The sequence below is a fragment of the Homo sapiens genome, chromosome 5 (genome assembly GCF_000001405.40).
Source record: "Homo sapiens chromosome 5, GRCh38.p14 Primary Assembly".
Taxonomy (NCBI): Eukaryota; Metazoa; Chordata; class Mammalia; order Primates; family Hominidae; genus Homo; species Homo sapiens.
The window spans coordinates 115,983,726-116,000,197 of record NC_000005.10 but is presented as its reverse complement, the minus strand read 5'-3'; the positions used below and the strand labels follow the sequence as shown (position 1 = coordinate 116,000,197).

General features: G+C 37.7%; 1 protein-coding gene across 8 annotated transcripts in view; it reads right to left on the bottom strand.

Moving 5' to 3' along the window:
* The window catches only part of LVRN (laeverin), a 65,132-nt gene that overhangs the window by 27,409 nt on the left and 21,251 nt on the right, over positions 1-16,472 (bottom strand). For 4 of the 8 annotated variants that reach the window (NM_173800.5, XM_047416915.1, XM_047416913.1 and 1 more), the window contains exons 3-7: positions 15,489-15,628; positions 12,259-12,385; positions 7,921-8,075; positions 6,344-6,457; positions 296-436 (exon numbers count right to left, since the gene is read on the bottom strand). In NM_173800.5, the coding sequence (NP_776161.3) occupies positions 296-436; positions 6,344-6,457; positions 7,921-8,075; positions 12,259-12,385; positions 15,489-15,628 (677 nt within the window). Of the gene's footprint in view, positions 1-295; positions 437-2,469; positions 2,658-4,635; positions 5,467-6,343; positions 6,458-7,913; positions 8,076-12,258; positions 12,386-15,488; positions 15,629-16,472 lie in introns of those variants that run through there. The other 4 variants (XM_047416916.1, XM_047416919.1, XM_047416918.1 and 1 more) reach the window with 4 other exon arrangements.

The window sequence follows — 16,472 nt, the reverse complement described above, 5'->3', positions numbered from 1 at the left end:
AATTGAGATCTTTACATAGCAAGAATAAATTTCCACCAAGCAAAAGGGTTCACCTTAAAAGTAGCAAGTTGTTAAAGTCTATGGTTGATGGACCCAAGCATTAATATTGGCTTGATGGATATTTGCAAGGTGAGAATTAATTTAATCATGTTTTCTGATACCTATGTATTGAATTAAAATAAGGTTATTTTCATAAAATGTTTTAAGTTGTATGATGATATAGGACCCTTAGAATCCATTTTATGCAACTTTCTACCAGAGTACAAAACCAAAGGAAATTTCTAACTGCTTTTACCTTGCTGTAAGTAAATATGTCAAAGAGTTCCTGTATTTCACTTGTTTTGAAATTTTCCACCTTCATGGCCACAGCTCTAGTCACCAGGGCGTGATCTTCTCTGAGGATATTATGTAAAATGTTAGAAAAAAAGATCTCATTCTATAAAGGAAAAGATGGAGGCACATTAACTCCTGAGGTGTCACAGAAGACCAAAATTCTATGGCCCTAAAATACTTTCAAAAACTGATATTGAAGAGGGAGAAAATTCAGTAATTGAGAAGTGTCTTTGAGTTGAAATATGCCAAATAAAGTCAGGATTCCTTGAATAACAAAACTATAAGATAGTTTCCTTCCCATTTGTATCCTTTTTCATTTCAGTTTTTAAAAAGTCAATTACAAAGTTAATGTGGTTTCCAAAAGCCACCTACATTTCCCACAAGGAGGTCCATGGCCATCCTGAGAGGGCCTTCCTTAAGGTGGTTTTAATTATCTAAAATTTCATCAGTAATTTTATCAATAACTCCTTAAAATTAATCAGTCTCTCTTTCATGAATATTTACAAACCAAAAGCATGCCAGATCTACAAACTCACAAAGATGCTGATGTAATAATTTAAAATTGAAAATAAATCCATAAAATGGATATTACAGTTTATGGCTCATGCATTAAGATAAGGCAATTTATTATATTTTAATAAAAACCATAGGACTCTTTAAAAGACTAGCTCTCTCTCAGACACATGATAAGGGCAATTTCTCCCTGAAGTAAAGCTAGAAGAAAAATCAGTTTATAGCCAGAGAGTCTTGTGATGAAGAGCTAGAGCAAAGACCAGTGGAGAAGTTATACCGGCACACGTTCGCAGCCTGGAGAGCCAGGTGAACCCCTCATGATCCACGGGAACCCTCAAGTCCCTACTGACTATCTTTGGGATCTGCAAGTTGACTCTCTCACCCTTTGACAGCGTCAGATTTTCAAAATCTGTTTCACTTCCATTTGCCAATGTTCTCATCAATCCCTTTCTATTAGCACATTATTTTTAGGCTAGTAATACCATTGATTAGGCCATTATCAAACTCTGCTTTTCCGGAAATGAGAAAGCCTATCATTTAGAGCAATACATCTCAAATTTTAACATGAAGAAGGATCACCAGGGGATTTTGTCAAAATCATGTTCTGATTCAGTTGGTTTGGGTTGGAGCCTGTATTTCTAATAAACTACCCAATGATGCTGATGCTGCTAGTTTAAGAATCACACCGAGTAGCAAGGATTTGGAGGAGTCATCTGCATAGGTCTGATCCTACTCAGTAAGCATGGATTTTATTAGCTCAACACTCAAGGCTTCTTGAGAGTGTCTCACTGGTGACCTATAAGCACAATGTAGAAAATAGAGAAAATAAAATCACCCATAATATCGCACCCTAAGGTCGCCACCATTAAAATGTTAGTGTAGTTCTTTTTCATCCTTTTTCCTATGTACTATTTATTCCCATAGTTGTAAAAACTTTTTATCTTGCTCATTTACTTGTTATAGCATTTTACAATTTTGCTACCTCATCTTTATAATTATCCCTTATAATGGCTGCTGCATTATAAAGAAAACAGAAACATAAATTGAAAGAAAATAAACCAAAATTTAATAGTGATTATCTCAGGGTAATCAAACCACAGATGATTTTCTTCTTTTCAAAGTACAGCAGATAAAACTTTTGCAAAAGAAAAACCTTAAAATATATAAATACATAGCTGCATAATAACCCATCAGGTCAATGGCCCATAATTGATTTAATCATTTCCCTTTTATTAGCTAGACATTTAAGTTACTTTCAGCTTTTTGCTGTTTTAACCAGTTTTAATGAACGTTTTTGCACATATTGCTACTCCACATTTTGTGAGTCTCCCCTAACCCTATCAGAACAGATTGTCTTTCTTTCTTCTGCCTGCCTGGTATAAGGTTTTATGTAATCTTCGTGATATCACTATAACCATACAAGGTAATTGATGAATGAGGCAAACACCTCTTCCTCAACACCCTAGAGGTCTTTCTATTCTGGGCCTCCCATAAAGTGATGCTGTCTGTAGCCTGTTTCAGTTCTATTGCAGGGAAACACTACATAAAACATGATGTCAGCTTTAAAAAAAACTATCTAGCTACTGCATATAGTGATTAGATAATATGAATCTGTATATTCACCATTACTTTGTCCCACAAGCTGCAATATGTCAGAGAAGGCCTATTAAAATTTCTTCCTTTTTTTTTTTGGAGAGTCTCACTCAGTTGCCCAGGCTGGAGTGCACTGGTGTGGTCATAGCTCGCCGCAGCTTCAATTTCCTAGGCTCTATCAATCCTCTCACTGCAGCCTCCTGAGTAGCTAGGACTACAAGGGTGCAGCACCATGCCCTGCTAATTAAAAAAATTTTAGTAGAGACGAGATTTCACTATGTTGCCCAGGCTGGTCTTAAACTCCTGAGCTTAAGAGATTCTCCCACCTTGGCCTCCCAAAGTGTTGGGATCACAGGCATGAGCCACCACACATAGCATAAAATCTACTCTTATCCTTAGAAATATAACATTATTTATTGTAATAAATTGGTATAGAATATCATGATGATTAAAAACGCAGGATTTGGAGTTAAAGTGCCTGTGTACGAATCCTTCCTCGGCCCTTTAGGAGTTATGTGACTCATCAAAGACCACCAACTTTATCTCTCTGAAACTCAGTTGCCGTCCGAAAATGGGTAAAACAACAATGTCCTCAATGGATTATTATGAGTACTAAATTAATTTTCATGATGTTCCAAGCACAACGGATAGCAAATAGGACATGCTCAATAAGGGTTAACCACTGCGGTGATTACTTATCATTATTTTTATTATTATCCTTCAGAATTGCCCTGAGGATTGAATGAGATAATATAAATAATTCTATTTAAGTACATAAAACTAGTGCCTAGTTAGTGGTAGTTGTCTCAACAGTACCTAGCAGATGCAATTATCATCTGTTGAATGACTGCAAGAACCCATTTTACAAATGAGGAACTAAAGCTCAGAGGTGTTCATCTGCCTGCCTCAGCTTACCATCATAGTAAAGGCAGAGCAACATATGATGGCTGCAGTGCCCATATGTACCTTTTCCCTTCACCAAGACTGCTGCTTTCTTAGATCAGGCAGCAGGAAGGTGGAGGAAAGTCAGTGAGTGGCAATGTCAGGGCCAGAGCTTCAGAGTTCCAGAAAGCCTTCGTCCCTAATGTTCTGACCCCTTGAGCATAATCCATTCATATCAGCTGAAATTAGACCTCGAAATAGAAAAAATTGTAAATCTGTTTCTGCATAAGGGTCTATGATTCTGTTACTCAATTTCAATCACATTACTAGATTAAAAGGAGGTTAAAGTTCTTGATCTCCAAAAATCATTGAAAGGAGAGCTTAAGCTTTTTAAAAACAAAGAACGTGGCAATGTCCTCAGTTGCCAAGATCTGATGCTTTCACTCAGCTCCACAAGCAACTAAGAGGTATAGAAAAGAGTGGCTAAGAAACTAATGATAAAAAGAAATAATTAAAAGGTACAAAAAGAGACTAACGTTGTAATCTTAGCTTCAAAAATATGAGGAATATGTTTTTGGCAAGTTTTGCAAGATATTGATAATAACCATTTTAGTTATTATAAGAGGTAACTGAAATTGATGCTCATGATGTATTCTATCTACTTAAGAAAATAGAGTAAATTTCATTGTCTTATGGGAATTAAACTTCTTCCCTTATTTACTCTATCCACAGAGTTAATTTAGGACATACCCAACTGCTTTCAAAAGAAGTTAAAGATGGCACTAACCATGAGTGAATAAAAGTTATGAAAGAGAGATACAAACAATTTTGTAGGCATAGAGTAAGTGGAAAGGACTGTTGGAGAGAGCTAAGACAATAAACACATACTGTATGCAGATAAAGACACACACACACACACACACACACACGATTAGCTTCTTGAGGATAAGAACACTCCAGTGTGTTTTTGCTATAGAGCACAGTGGTTAAAAGCATGGGCTTCGCAGTTGGCCTGACCTGGAATTGAATCTCACTTCTGACATTTAATAACTATGAGAGCTTGAGCAACTTACTTAATGCTTCTATACCTCAGTTTCCTCACATGTAAAATAGAAATAACAACAGCACTCATATGGTTGGTTTGAGGACTGAGTAAGATGATGTATGTGTAGTGCTCACACTGCCTGGCACTTAAGTTCTAAGTACTCACTGAATGGTAAATACAGTATTATTGTTGTTATCGTCATCCTTGTCATCAGACTAGACCCAGACAGCTGGTTATAAAATCAGGCCTGTCCCAGTTGGGCAAATTACCTTTGGCAAGTCATTTAACCTTTCAGTACTTCAGTCTCCTGATCTATATAATGACGTCCAAACTTTCCTCCAGGACAAGCAGGGCCTGTGTATAGTCCATGGGGAGGAAGAGAGAGGCACTGCGGAGTGACTGGGCTGGGGACCTTATAGCATGTCTGTAAAGGGCGGGGAGGTGGCATGGAACTCGGGTGTTAAAAGCGTGCACTACATCAGTGCTTGCCAGATGCTGTGATGTCACAAACAGATAAAAAGAGATTTTTTAAAAGGTTTCTGTGGCACTAAGATAGGCTTGTCAACTTTTTTTTCCTGCCAAACTATCGACCAAAACAAGTACCATCTACCTACCATCGATTATCAATTTTCATAAAAAAAGGAAAGCTTACTTCCAAAATAATAGGACGAATATCATCTTAGAATCTCCTTCAGAATGAATAGATTTAGCCTGTAAAGAAGATCCAGCAAGTAGAGATAGCATTTCAATATTAATAAATCCTTTGAATGAGTGAAGGTAGGGAGGAGAAAAGAGGTCAGTAATCCAGCCTTGGAACAACTGGGAGCTGAGATGAGACGGGGACCAGCAAAGAGAGGCAGGAAGGAGCAATCCTGAGGACCAGAGAGGTTACAGGAGACAGAAGAGAGGAGGGGAAGAAGATGCAAACCAAGAAAGAACCTCTGGTTTATAACAGAAGTAAGGTTTATATCAAAAGATAACATTAAGTCTAAACATTTAGATATCTAAATCAAATCAATTTGGTTTTATCATGGCATTCTAAAAGCACTACATAATTACTCTAAATAAATTAAATATCAGAAGTAAAACCTACAGTTGAAAGAATTAGATTTTCACATTGATGTATTTATCTTTCAATATTATTATTTACTCAAATTAGCAAAACAATATCAGCAATAATATTAATTAAATATGAAGTAGCATATTACTTATCATAAAAGTCACACACTGCTGTTACAGTTGCTTTAAAATACAGTCTAGGTTGGGCGCGGTAGCTCACGCCTGTAATCCCAGCACTTTGGGAGGCCGAGGCTGGTGGATCCCTTGAGTCCAGGAGTTTGAGACCAGTCTGGGCAACATGGCGAAACCCCGTCTCTACAAACAATACAAAAATGATCTAGGCATGGTGGCACATGCCTGTAGTCCCAGCTATTTGGAAGGCTGAGGTGGGAGGACTGCTTGAGCCCAGGAGGTCGAGACTGCATTGAGTCAAGATCATGCCACCACACTCCAGTTTGGGTGACAGAGCGAGACCATGTCTCCAGCCTAGGTGACAGAGCAAGACCTAGACTATATATATATAGTCTATATAGCAGGACTAAGAAATATATGTAGTAGGAATAAGTGAAAATAATCTTAGGCAGTCATTTAAAATCTTTTTTAAAAAGATCTAATGATTTGTAGAAATACTCAGGATTATGAAGTAGAAATATGAATATGTAGAAATATGAAGTTGAATATGAAGTAAAAAAAGCAATACAAAATTTTATGTAATTCCCACCTTCAAAAACATTTACAATAGATAAAAAGCCTGGAATTAAAAAAAAATATCAAAAAGCTAACACAAATTATTTTTGGTATTATAGGTAATTTATTATTTCTTGTATTTTCTTGTATTTTATACATTTTCAAGAATGAATATGCATTACTTTTATAATTAGGAGAAAAATGTTAAATAAACTTAGTAAACATACTTACTCTTGGGAGTTTAGGATTAAAGTAGTTAATTACTTCAAACTCAAAATAAGATGCAAAACCCTCGTTGAGCCAGATATTGTTCCACCAATTCATGGTAACCAAGTTTCCAAACCACTTTTGGAAATGAGAAGAAAAAAAGAGCTTTCTTAAATTTAATTTTTAAGTTATATTCGTTGTAATTGCATGTTAAGTAAATGTAAGGTCAAAAGACATAATTAAAATTTATTTGCCATCAATAACAAAACTTGAAGACAGGACACCAAAAAAGCAAGTTGTTGTTTTCACATAAATAGATATTAGTCATGCATTTCTCAGAAATATTCCATGTTCAATTATTAAAAGCAATTTTTGTTTTAAAACTGCAATGTTTAAACATAAGGTCAGCTAGAATAGCATTTCTTAAACTGTCCACTTGGCCCAAAAGTTGTTTTTAGTTCCATAAAACAGAAGCCCTGAATGCTGACTTGCCACCTACTAATTCTAGCACCTTATACTCTAAGTAGGCTGCAACTGGATTTTACTTTAAGCAGTTGTTTATATTTTAAGAAAATAATTTGATCTGTGCCATGTACAAATCACTCAAGTAATCATACGTTATGCAATATGGCTCAGCTGTTAATTATTTTCTGTTTGAACTGAACAGAAAAAAAAAAACAGTGTCAAATGGATGATGAACAGAATTAGGAAAGAAAAACAATGATTTCCAAACTAACAAACGCAAGCCCTGGTATTTCACCAAATTCTTATAACAGCTATAATTACTAATAGCCTGTATTGCAAAACAATGTGTAACTTAGGCTATAATAGAAAATGACACTTCGGGTGACTTAATAAAACTTGTGATTGTGTTTGTTTTACTGTGCACCAGGGTATTAATCAATCCTAGTAAACTGCTCTTTTCCAAAACTTCTTATGGAGCCACATTACGAAGATAACATCGTTGAAATTATTTCTTTCTTAACAGACTTGTATTAATGGTGCAGACACTGAAATGCAGATATGAAAATCTTCATCAAATTAAACAGCTAAACTTCTAAAATCCCAATGCAAAAGCAAATAGATCTGATTAAATGAATTGTCATTTACACAACCATTGGGAATGCAGCTCAAGGGTTAATTATTGCCACCTTGCTAATCTATTACCTGTATCCATTTAACCTCTCTCCAACAACAGCAACAACAACTAGAAATTTATAACAATCTGCTGATGAAATGTGGGTATCTTTCAGTGATCCTTTTGAATAGCCCTTATTTTAGGTGAAATGAAAATAAAATACTCCTGTGTCTGCATGGTTTAACTTTTCCTGAAGAGGACTTTGTGGAGCAAACTTAATTGTTAGATGTAAATACCCAGCCCTCAGCCAAACTGTACGGTCTCCTCCCTATGATCTGTCACCAGTAGCTCAAATCCACCCTGAATCTGAGTCTTCCCCATTTTTACTCACTGTCATACTTTGAGATGTTTTTCTTTTTAAAATATGGTATATGGCAGGGTCTTACTGGGGTTTTTATGCTATTTTGGTAGCGCACCTGGAGAATAACTTCAAGTGAAATAAAAAGAACATTTTACCACATGCCTGGTGTCCAATCTCGTGGGAGACAACATAGGAGATCAGAGTCTTTTTTTCTGTCAGTTGATCTTTTGGTTCCAACAACAATCCTGATTCATCAAATATCATTAGTCCCCAGTTTTCCATTGCATGGTTGTCAAAACTAGGCAAGGCAATTATATCTAAGTGGATTTAAATGGAGGAGAAAATAAAATAATCTTTTCCAAAAAATGGGATTTTTTAAATATCTCAAAATGAAATCATAAAATTACCAAAAAATTCAAGGGAATATTTATAACCTGAACGGAGAGAAGGCTTTTTAAAGACTAATGCCAAAGACAAAAGCCAGCAAATAAATTATTTTCACTATGTTAACATAAAATATTCTTGATAAAGGACTTGTATTCAAATACACAAAGAATGCTTACAACTTAGCAGTAAAGAAACAGACAACCCAACTACAAAATGGACAAAAGATCTGAACATACACCTCACTAAAGAAGATATATAAATGGCAAATACACATATGAAAAGATGCTCAACATCAATTGTCATTAGAGAATTTTAAATTAAAACAATGAGATATTACCACACACCTACTAGAATGGCTAAAATCCAAAATACTGGCAACACCAAATGCAGATGAGGATGTGGAGCAACAGGAACTCTCATTCATTGCTCGTGGGGATGCAAAATGGTACAGTCACTATAGGTTGACCATAAGATCTGACAATTACATTCCTTGGAATTAACCCAAATGACCAGAAATCTTATGCCCACCCAAAAACCTGCACACAAATGTTTATAGAAGCTTTATTCATAATTGCTAAAAGTTGGAAGCAACCAAGATGCCCTTAAATAGGCTAATAGATAAACAAACTGCAGTACATCAATACAACAGAGTATTATTCAGTGATGAGAAATGATGTATCATGCTAGGAAAAGTTATGGGAAATTTTAAGTGCATGTTGCTAAGTGAAAGAAGCTGGTCTGGGAAAGCTACATACTATGCAATTCCAACTATATGACATTCTGGAACAGGCAAAACTCTAAAGATAATAAAAAGATTGGTGGTTGTCAGGGATTCGGGGGAAGCAGGGGAGGATAAATAGATGGAGAACAGGGGATTTTTATGGCAGTGAAACTATTCTGTATGATACTGTAATTGTCAATACTGGTCATTATACAGTTGCCAAAACCCATATTGCTGTACAATGCAAAAACTGAACCCTAAGATAAACTAGGGAGGTTAGTTAATAATAATGTTTCAATATTGTAACAAGTGTACCACACCAATGCAAGATGTTGACAACAGGAGAAAGGAGGGAGAAGAAAGGAAAGAGAGAATATATGGGAACTCTCTGTATTTTTTGCACAATCTTCCTGTAAACCTTAAACTGCTCTAAAAATAGTCTATTTATATTAAACATTTTAGCCAGGCATGGTGGCTTATGCGCGTAATCTCAGCACTTTGGGAGGGCTAGGCGGACGGATCACTTGAGATCAGGAGTTCAAGACCAGCCTAGCCAACATAGTGAAACCCTGTCTCTACTACAAATAGAAAAATTAGCTGGGCATGGTGGTGCGCACCTGTAATCCCAGCTACTGGAGAGACTGAGGCAGGAGAATCACTTGAACTTAGGAGGCGGAGGTGTCAGTAGGGGGGGATTGCACCACTGCACTCTAGGCTGGGTGATAGAGTGAGATGCCGTCTCAAAAAATGAATACATAAAAATAAATACTTTAGTTCACCAAAATACACTATAAACAAATTTGAAAGGCAAATAATAATCTAGGGAAAAATATTTAAAGCATATACCACAAGCGATTAGACAACTTTTCAATATTTAAACAACTCTGACAAAACAGAGAAAAAGCCAAACGTGAACAATGCACCAAAGAAATACTTCAAACAGCCAAAAATCTTATTTAAAATGTTCATCATTAATTATCAAAAATTGAAAATTAAAATGATATATCTTTAAAATACATAGGAGTCTAATAATTAATATTGGTATAGGCATAGGAAATCTGGCATATAGCCTACAGGGAAAGTGTCAATTGGCACAATAATAACCCAAACACCTAGCTCTACCAGTCACTATAATATTTTGACATTCAGTCCAACTTTTGACTTGAGAGTGAATTAAAATGATAGCAACATGAGAAAAAATACTGTTCTATATAAGGGGTACATGAACACAGTTCATATAATCTTTGATTCTAAAGTTTAGAATTCATTGAGCAAGCTACAAGAAAATTAGCTAAGAGAACAACACAGGAGAAATAAACCAAATCGTTTTTCACCCAACTCACCTCCTCAGAGAGGAGGGTAAGAGTATGGCATATGTGGGAAATGCTGGTAGGGGAGGCATTTGTTTTGTTTTGTTTTGTTGTTTGTGACTCAGCAAAGAGTTAAAGCAATTAAGAAACATTAGTTATCTTTCTCCCAAAAACCCAATAATAGAGGAACTCTTTATCTTAATCACCTATCAATAAAAATAAGGTTTTCATTGAGTACCTCCTATGGGCGCTCATAGGGTAACATCAGTTGAGATGCTATGAAGGTTACAAAGAAAGTATCAAATGTATCCCTGATGTCCAGGAATTAATAATCTGGTCAGAATTTACGTGGAATTACTGAACTAGTCACATGTATTTATTTCCTCCATCCCACAAAAAGTTTACTGTTGACCACCTGACTGCCATAGGTTCTAGAGGCACAAAGAAAAAGACCCTTCAGATCCTAACTCCGAGGTCTAATGAGGGAGATAATTAAAATACAATTGGTCAAGAGTTCAGATGGTGGAATATGCAGGATACTGTGGAAGTGTGAGAAAAGAAGTCAGGGAAGGCTTCCTGGATGAGGAGGCACTGAGTTGAGAAACAGAATTGAATTAACCAGTGGATAGAAGCCATTTCAGGATGTGCAAACTGCATGTGTAAGAGCCTGGAGGAGACAAGAGGAAGGTGAATGCATAGGAGTGAGCAGAGACAGTGCTAGAGCATCCTTCCCACTCAGGAACTGCCAAAAGCCCTGAGAGGTTGGTAAGAGAAGCACCTTTATAAAGACACGGTACTGACTTCGGACTTAACCCTCAGGGAAATGGGAGGTCACACAGAGGTTTTACAGAGAACAGTAACATGATCAGATTTTCTCTGGAAAGATCCTTCTGGTTTCATATAAAGGATGGCTTGGAGGGAATGTGGAGAAGCTATGAGAGTACAGCTGTGGTGGAGATGATGATGAAAACTAGGGAGAACTAGGGGGACAGTAAGAAGTGAGTGGATGGATGGATGTAGGGGACGATAAGGTGACTAATTAGATAGAGGGTGTGCTTCAAGGGGACAGGATGTCAAGGATGACTCTGGACTTCTCATCTAAATAAATACAAATAGAACTTTTCTTGCCAAGACAAGGGGCGTCTTGGGAGCCTCCAGCCCCAGAAATGCCAGGAGCTTGGTCTCCATGCCTGAGCTCCTGCTGCCTCCAACTCCCTGAGTGATAGGTGTTTCCTCCAGGATTTCTGAATGGGCCGAGGCTGGTTTCCATCCCTTCATTCCCCATTCCTCCTTAGCCAGAATGCTCAAGCTGCAGAGACCCTGGCTTCCTGGGGTTCAGAAGGCTCAAGCTCCCAAATATTTACTCCCTACCTTCTTCCACTATCTGCCAGTATAGGCAGCGCATACTTTTTCCAAGTCTTCAACTAACATGTCAGAAGAACAAAATACATTTACATGATACTTTCAATTTAGAGAAAAAACAATGAACAACTTTCTGAGCTGAGTGGCTCATACAATTTTAAGAACATACCACACAGATCTATGAAAGGTTAAATATTTACATATTTCCTTAAGGATCATATTATATTCACATATGATTCCAATTTTATATGATGAAAATTCATAGTTGGGACCACTAAGTCCTAATTCAATGATTCACAGCTAATGGATATTTAAAAAAAAAAAAAACTTACTAAAGGGAACTGAAGTAACTTCTGAAAGCCCGCTAGCTAAAGTGATCCAGACTCAGCACTGCAGACTTGCAGTATGAGAGAAAAGGCCTGAACTCAAAAGAGAAAGTAGGGTCTAGAGGACGGGAGGCTGCCATTGAGTAGCCAGGAGAGACCTAAAAAGTCTGAGAGCTCTTCAGCAGCTGCTGAGCACATGGCTCTGTACAGAGAAAGAGCAGGTGAGCCTCTGTGTGTTTCAGAAGGTATAAGGCATAGGTCAGGAGGCTAACTCCAAACCAGCAGCTAAATGGTGATGGTGAATCCTTATGGGTTTGTCTGTGTATCTTGAGGCCTCAACCAAGGGCCCAAATAACAGGAAACCAAATGCACTGAAAGGAAAAGATTACCTCACCTGTTTTTGGAAGAGAGTAACTGATATTAAACAAATCCTCCAGAAAAGAGAAGATGGGACCTGTGATGTTCAAAGCAAAGTCTGCACTTCCATTTGCAATTGCATCTTTCCGGGCCCAGATGCGTATCTAAATCAAAACAGTTAAGCAGTGATTAGGAAAACCAGTAGTGATTTTGGAAAGAGGTAGTCTGCTTGCTCCAATTCCCTGCTGCTGAACCAAAGTCTTACCTTTCCAGAAGAAGCTGCATAATAAAATGCTTGCATGCTTACATGTCCTGAGAAAACCCCTGAAGGCTGTTCACTAAGTTATGAACAGTGATTCCCCCGAAAGTGTGTTATTTCAATCTTTGACAATAGCATGTACAATCTGGAATCATAAAACAACCCCTGGAATGGGTTGTACCAGCATCTACCCCTACAGTAAGTGTAGATTCTATAGGCATTTTGTGCACTTTGGGCCCTTGCTTCCCATTTCAGGATATATTACTAATGATCCAAAACAGAATTGCACTGTGAGTGGGGGTTATATAGTATGGTACATATTAAGCATATTTAAATCATGCACATTTAAAATTGTTTAGCAGTTAGAACATTAATAGTCCTACTTTACTTACAAAATTTGAAATAAGGTTAATTCTCCTAATTTAAAAAAGTTCATCAAATGTCTCATAATTTTAAAACTGTCAAAGCAAGTGAATTATAATTCTCTTGTTTTTCTATTGCCAAATGACACTTCCACTTTAGCAAGTAAAAGGAAATCTCTGCCATGTTTTGTCCGTTTTGTGTGACCACACTATTGTTTGTGTAATTGGAGCTTATTTGTGTGATTTTGTGAGTAATATCCTATTGTTTTAACATTAATTATTACTATAAATTGAAAGTATTGTAAACTCTAAAAAAAAAAAGTAAGTAATTTTTAATAGAATTGCCAGCATTAATGTTAAAGAACATGCATAAAACTTAAAGATCTTGGAATGAAAGTTACCAAGTGAGATAATTAAAATATTTGTCCTGTTGTGAATGCCGTTAATTTAAGAAAGAACGCTCTGCAAAACATTAGAGAAAATGCTAAGGAAATGAAAGAATCACAGTATTTACAGATTTGTGCCCTCCAAGAACATATTCGTCTTACTTTGCTTTTATTTCTGCTTAAAAGTATTTCTAGAATTATGTAAATTCTGAACTACTTACATGTTTCTTATGTTTATTCTCATGCCACACATTAACCACACTTTCCATTTCATGAAATCTTTATCTGTTACTTAATGAGAAATTTGTAAATGGGCTGGACTCTATTCCAAGTGTACATTTTTGTTCCTCTGCAGAGTATATAATGGACCCATTAACTTTGTAAAGCTGAGCTGTAGCCAAATGTTCACATTCCACTGATAGACTCATGCCAAACTTCAGTGTGCTGGCTAAGAACATGACTTTCTTAGGTATGCTCCATTTCCTTGTTGTTTCTATGGCAGCTGGCATCCTTTTCGGGGTGATCTTTCACAGATAAATCGATATCATCCCGCTACAAGAATGGTTGACTGTGCAGCAGCACTGACCACAGCAAGGCACTTGAGATAATGGATGCCAAGGAATCACCTTTGGTCTGTCATTACCTATGGGAGCCCATTCCTCCTTACCAAGCTCAAAGCACGTGCTTCCAAATCATGCCTGAGCAGATTTAAAAATATAAGCCATGCACGTTTAACTTGGCCAGTGTTATATTTGTAGATGACAAGGTTCTACTAGTAATTATTCAATAGGAAAATCAGACTGGAGCCAACAGCCTAGGAAGATAACAAGCTGCCATTTGCATCTAAAACGGTATTATTAATTCATTAAGTTAGGAGGAGCTTTGAGAATCGCTCAGCCAACACAATATTACTAATTCATCACTAGGTTAGGAGTTGTAAAGGAGGAGTAGCTTTGAGTAATTCTCCCCTGATGAGGGGCTTGGCTCACCCACAGCTTCCTTTTCTCCACATGTCAATGGTGCAAGCCTGGAAGACCTTGGGCCCCTTGGGCCCAGGAGAGTATGTTAGCGAGCTATAGGGCCTGATTTTTCTCAGCTTGATGAAGTCTACGTGTCTAGAAAGAACTGGGCCTAAGGCCCGCTATAATAGGGAGTGAACAAGCATATAAAGCACTGCCAGCACGACCTCCATATTTTCCTAAAGGATTATTATAAAGGGGGTAATTGGGTGAAAACCAGCTATTTCAGGACAGAGTGCTGACTTTACACAACTCAGAAAAAGTGTTGCATGCTCCAGAACTGAAGAACATGGCAGTTCAGCTTCTGGATAGGTATGGGGACAAGAGTGACTTTATTTTAAATGCTAATCCACTATGTAACTTCTGACTAACCTTGAGTCTGAGAGTGCCTCTAAATGTCTAGTTAATGTGTTAACTCATTATGTAGAAACACCTATTCATTGTAAGTTTTCTTCAAAACCACCCTTGTTGTTCTGGAAATCATAGGCTGTGATGTGGCCAACTACAAATTCCTTCCGGGGCACGTATGCTTTTCCCCCAAGATATAAGCCCTGGGTCTGGAGAGTTACAGAGCAAAGATCTACTTGTCTTGTGGCCACCCAAGACCATGCTTCTGTCTTTAAGTTCCCTTAATAAAACATTCCAAACCAACAAACTAGATTTGTCTGCCTCCTTCCTCAGTTTCTCAGCTCCTTCTGCATTTGGGGGTCGCTTTGTTTATATGGCCATTTCACAGAACAATAGGGATAATATTTTAACCTGCATGCACCATTTCAGCCATAGCAGTTGTTCCTGGCTGGTGTCCGTTTTGACTCGTTGATGCCTGGCCATGCTGGTTGCTAACTGTTTTGAGTATCACCCAAGCTTCAAGACACCATTAACCCTGGGCTAAGTACACATCACATACTAAACGCAAACATCAAGGTGCCAGTGCAGCAGTGCTCCCCATTCTCTCCTGTCTTCTGCAAAAGCAGAAACACACTGGGAAGAGGGGGCACAGACCTTGCCTTGATGAGTGGGCTTAATATGGACTCTTTCCGTGAAAACCTATCCAAAGAATGGCAGTAGGAAATGTTATGTCCCATTCTGCAAAGCCACACTAAGAACTTTTACAGGGCTTGGGAGAGAGAACTAGGAAGCGATTTGGGGATATGCAGCCATAACCACTGGATGCAGAAAGAATAGATGAATAATCTGCAGCCAGTACAATCTCCCTTACCTACAGAATCTTCCTCACTCACCTCCTTGCCCCTTTCTGTTCTGTTGACGTGGTCATAGTCACATATAACAAATGCGACTAAGTAAGTTGGCATGTGGGGCGTAGTGGAAAAGGTTGTAACAGTCCATTTGCTTCCATTCACATCTTCTTTTTCAGACTGACCTAGAGAATTTTATTTTAGTTCAAATCACAGCAAATCTAAGCAATTACATGTCTTTGAAATAATTTGTCAAGTCAATTGTCACCCAGCTACTCCTTTCCAGCTATTCCTCATAGTCTAGCAGTTCAGATTTCTCCACCTACTCCTAAGCTATCCAAAACCACATTAGGAAAATCTCAGAACAGCATCTTGGGCCTGAATCAGCATTTTGAATAATATAGACTTGATTGAGGGCCAAATCCACGAGCACTATAAACTTAGCCCCCAATCTGCCTCCTTTCTCTCCCACCTAATTCTATTGTTTTCTAGTCCAGCCCATTTCTCACAACACTTAATCTAGAGCTGCCTAGGCCCCACGGTAGGTCAACAAGGTGCAATTCTACTCCTCTCAGGTTTCAAACTAAGACTTTAGTGGAAGCAATCTGGGGCCTTTAAAGCTGAAATCACAAACTCAAATGCCTACAAGGGCCAGGCACTCGATGTGAAATGGGTTGGTGTACCTAATAGGGAGTGGTGAGGATCATCTGAGAAGCGGCTGCAGGAGGCAGCCAACCTCCTGCTGGAGACAGCAAGACTTGTTGACCTGGGAACCTGCCTTTAGATGACAATTGTGGAGGCTAAATTCCCTTTTCAACTAAAGTCCTGAGACTTAAAGGCTCTTCTCAAATGTCACTGATCACTGCCACGTAAGAGCTGTAGGTCCAGTGTTGTTAGAACTTCTAAGTTTTCACATTTAAATTTTTATGTAAAATCTCTGGATATTTTTAAGTTGGAAACTGATTTAATCAAAAGAAAAAAAGGCACATGAGCCAACTGAAACACAGCTGTGCACCAGATTCAGACTAA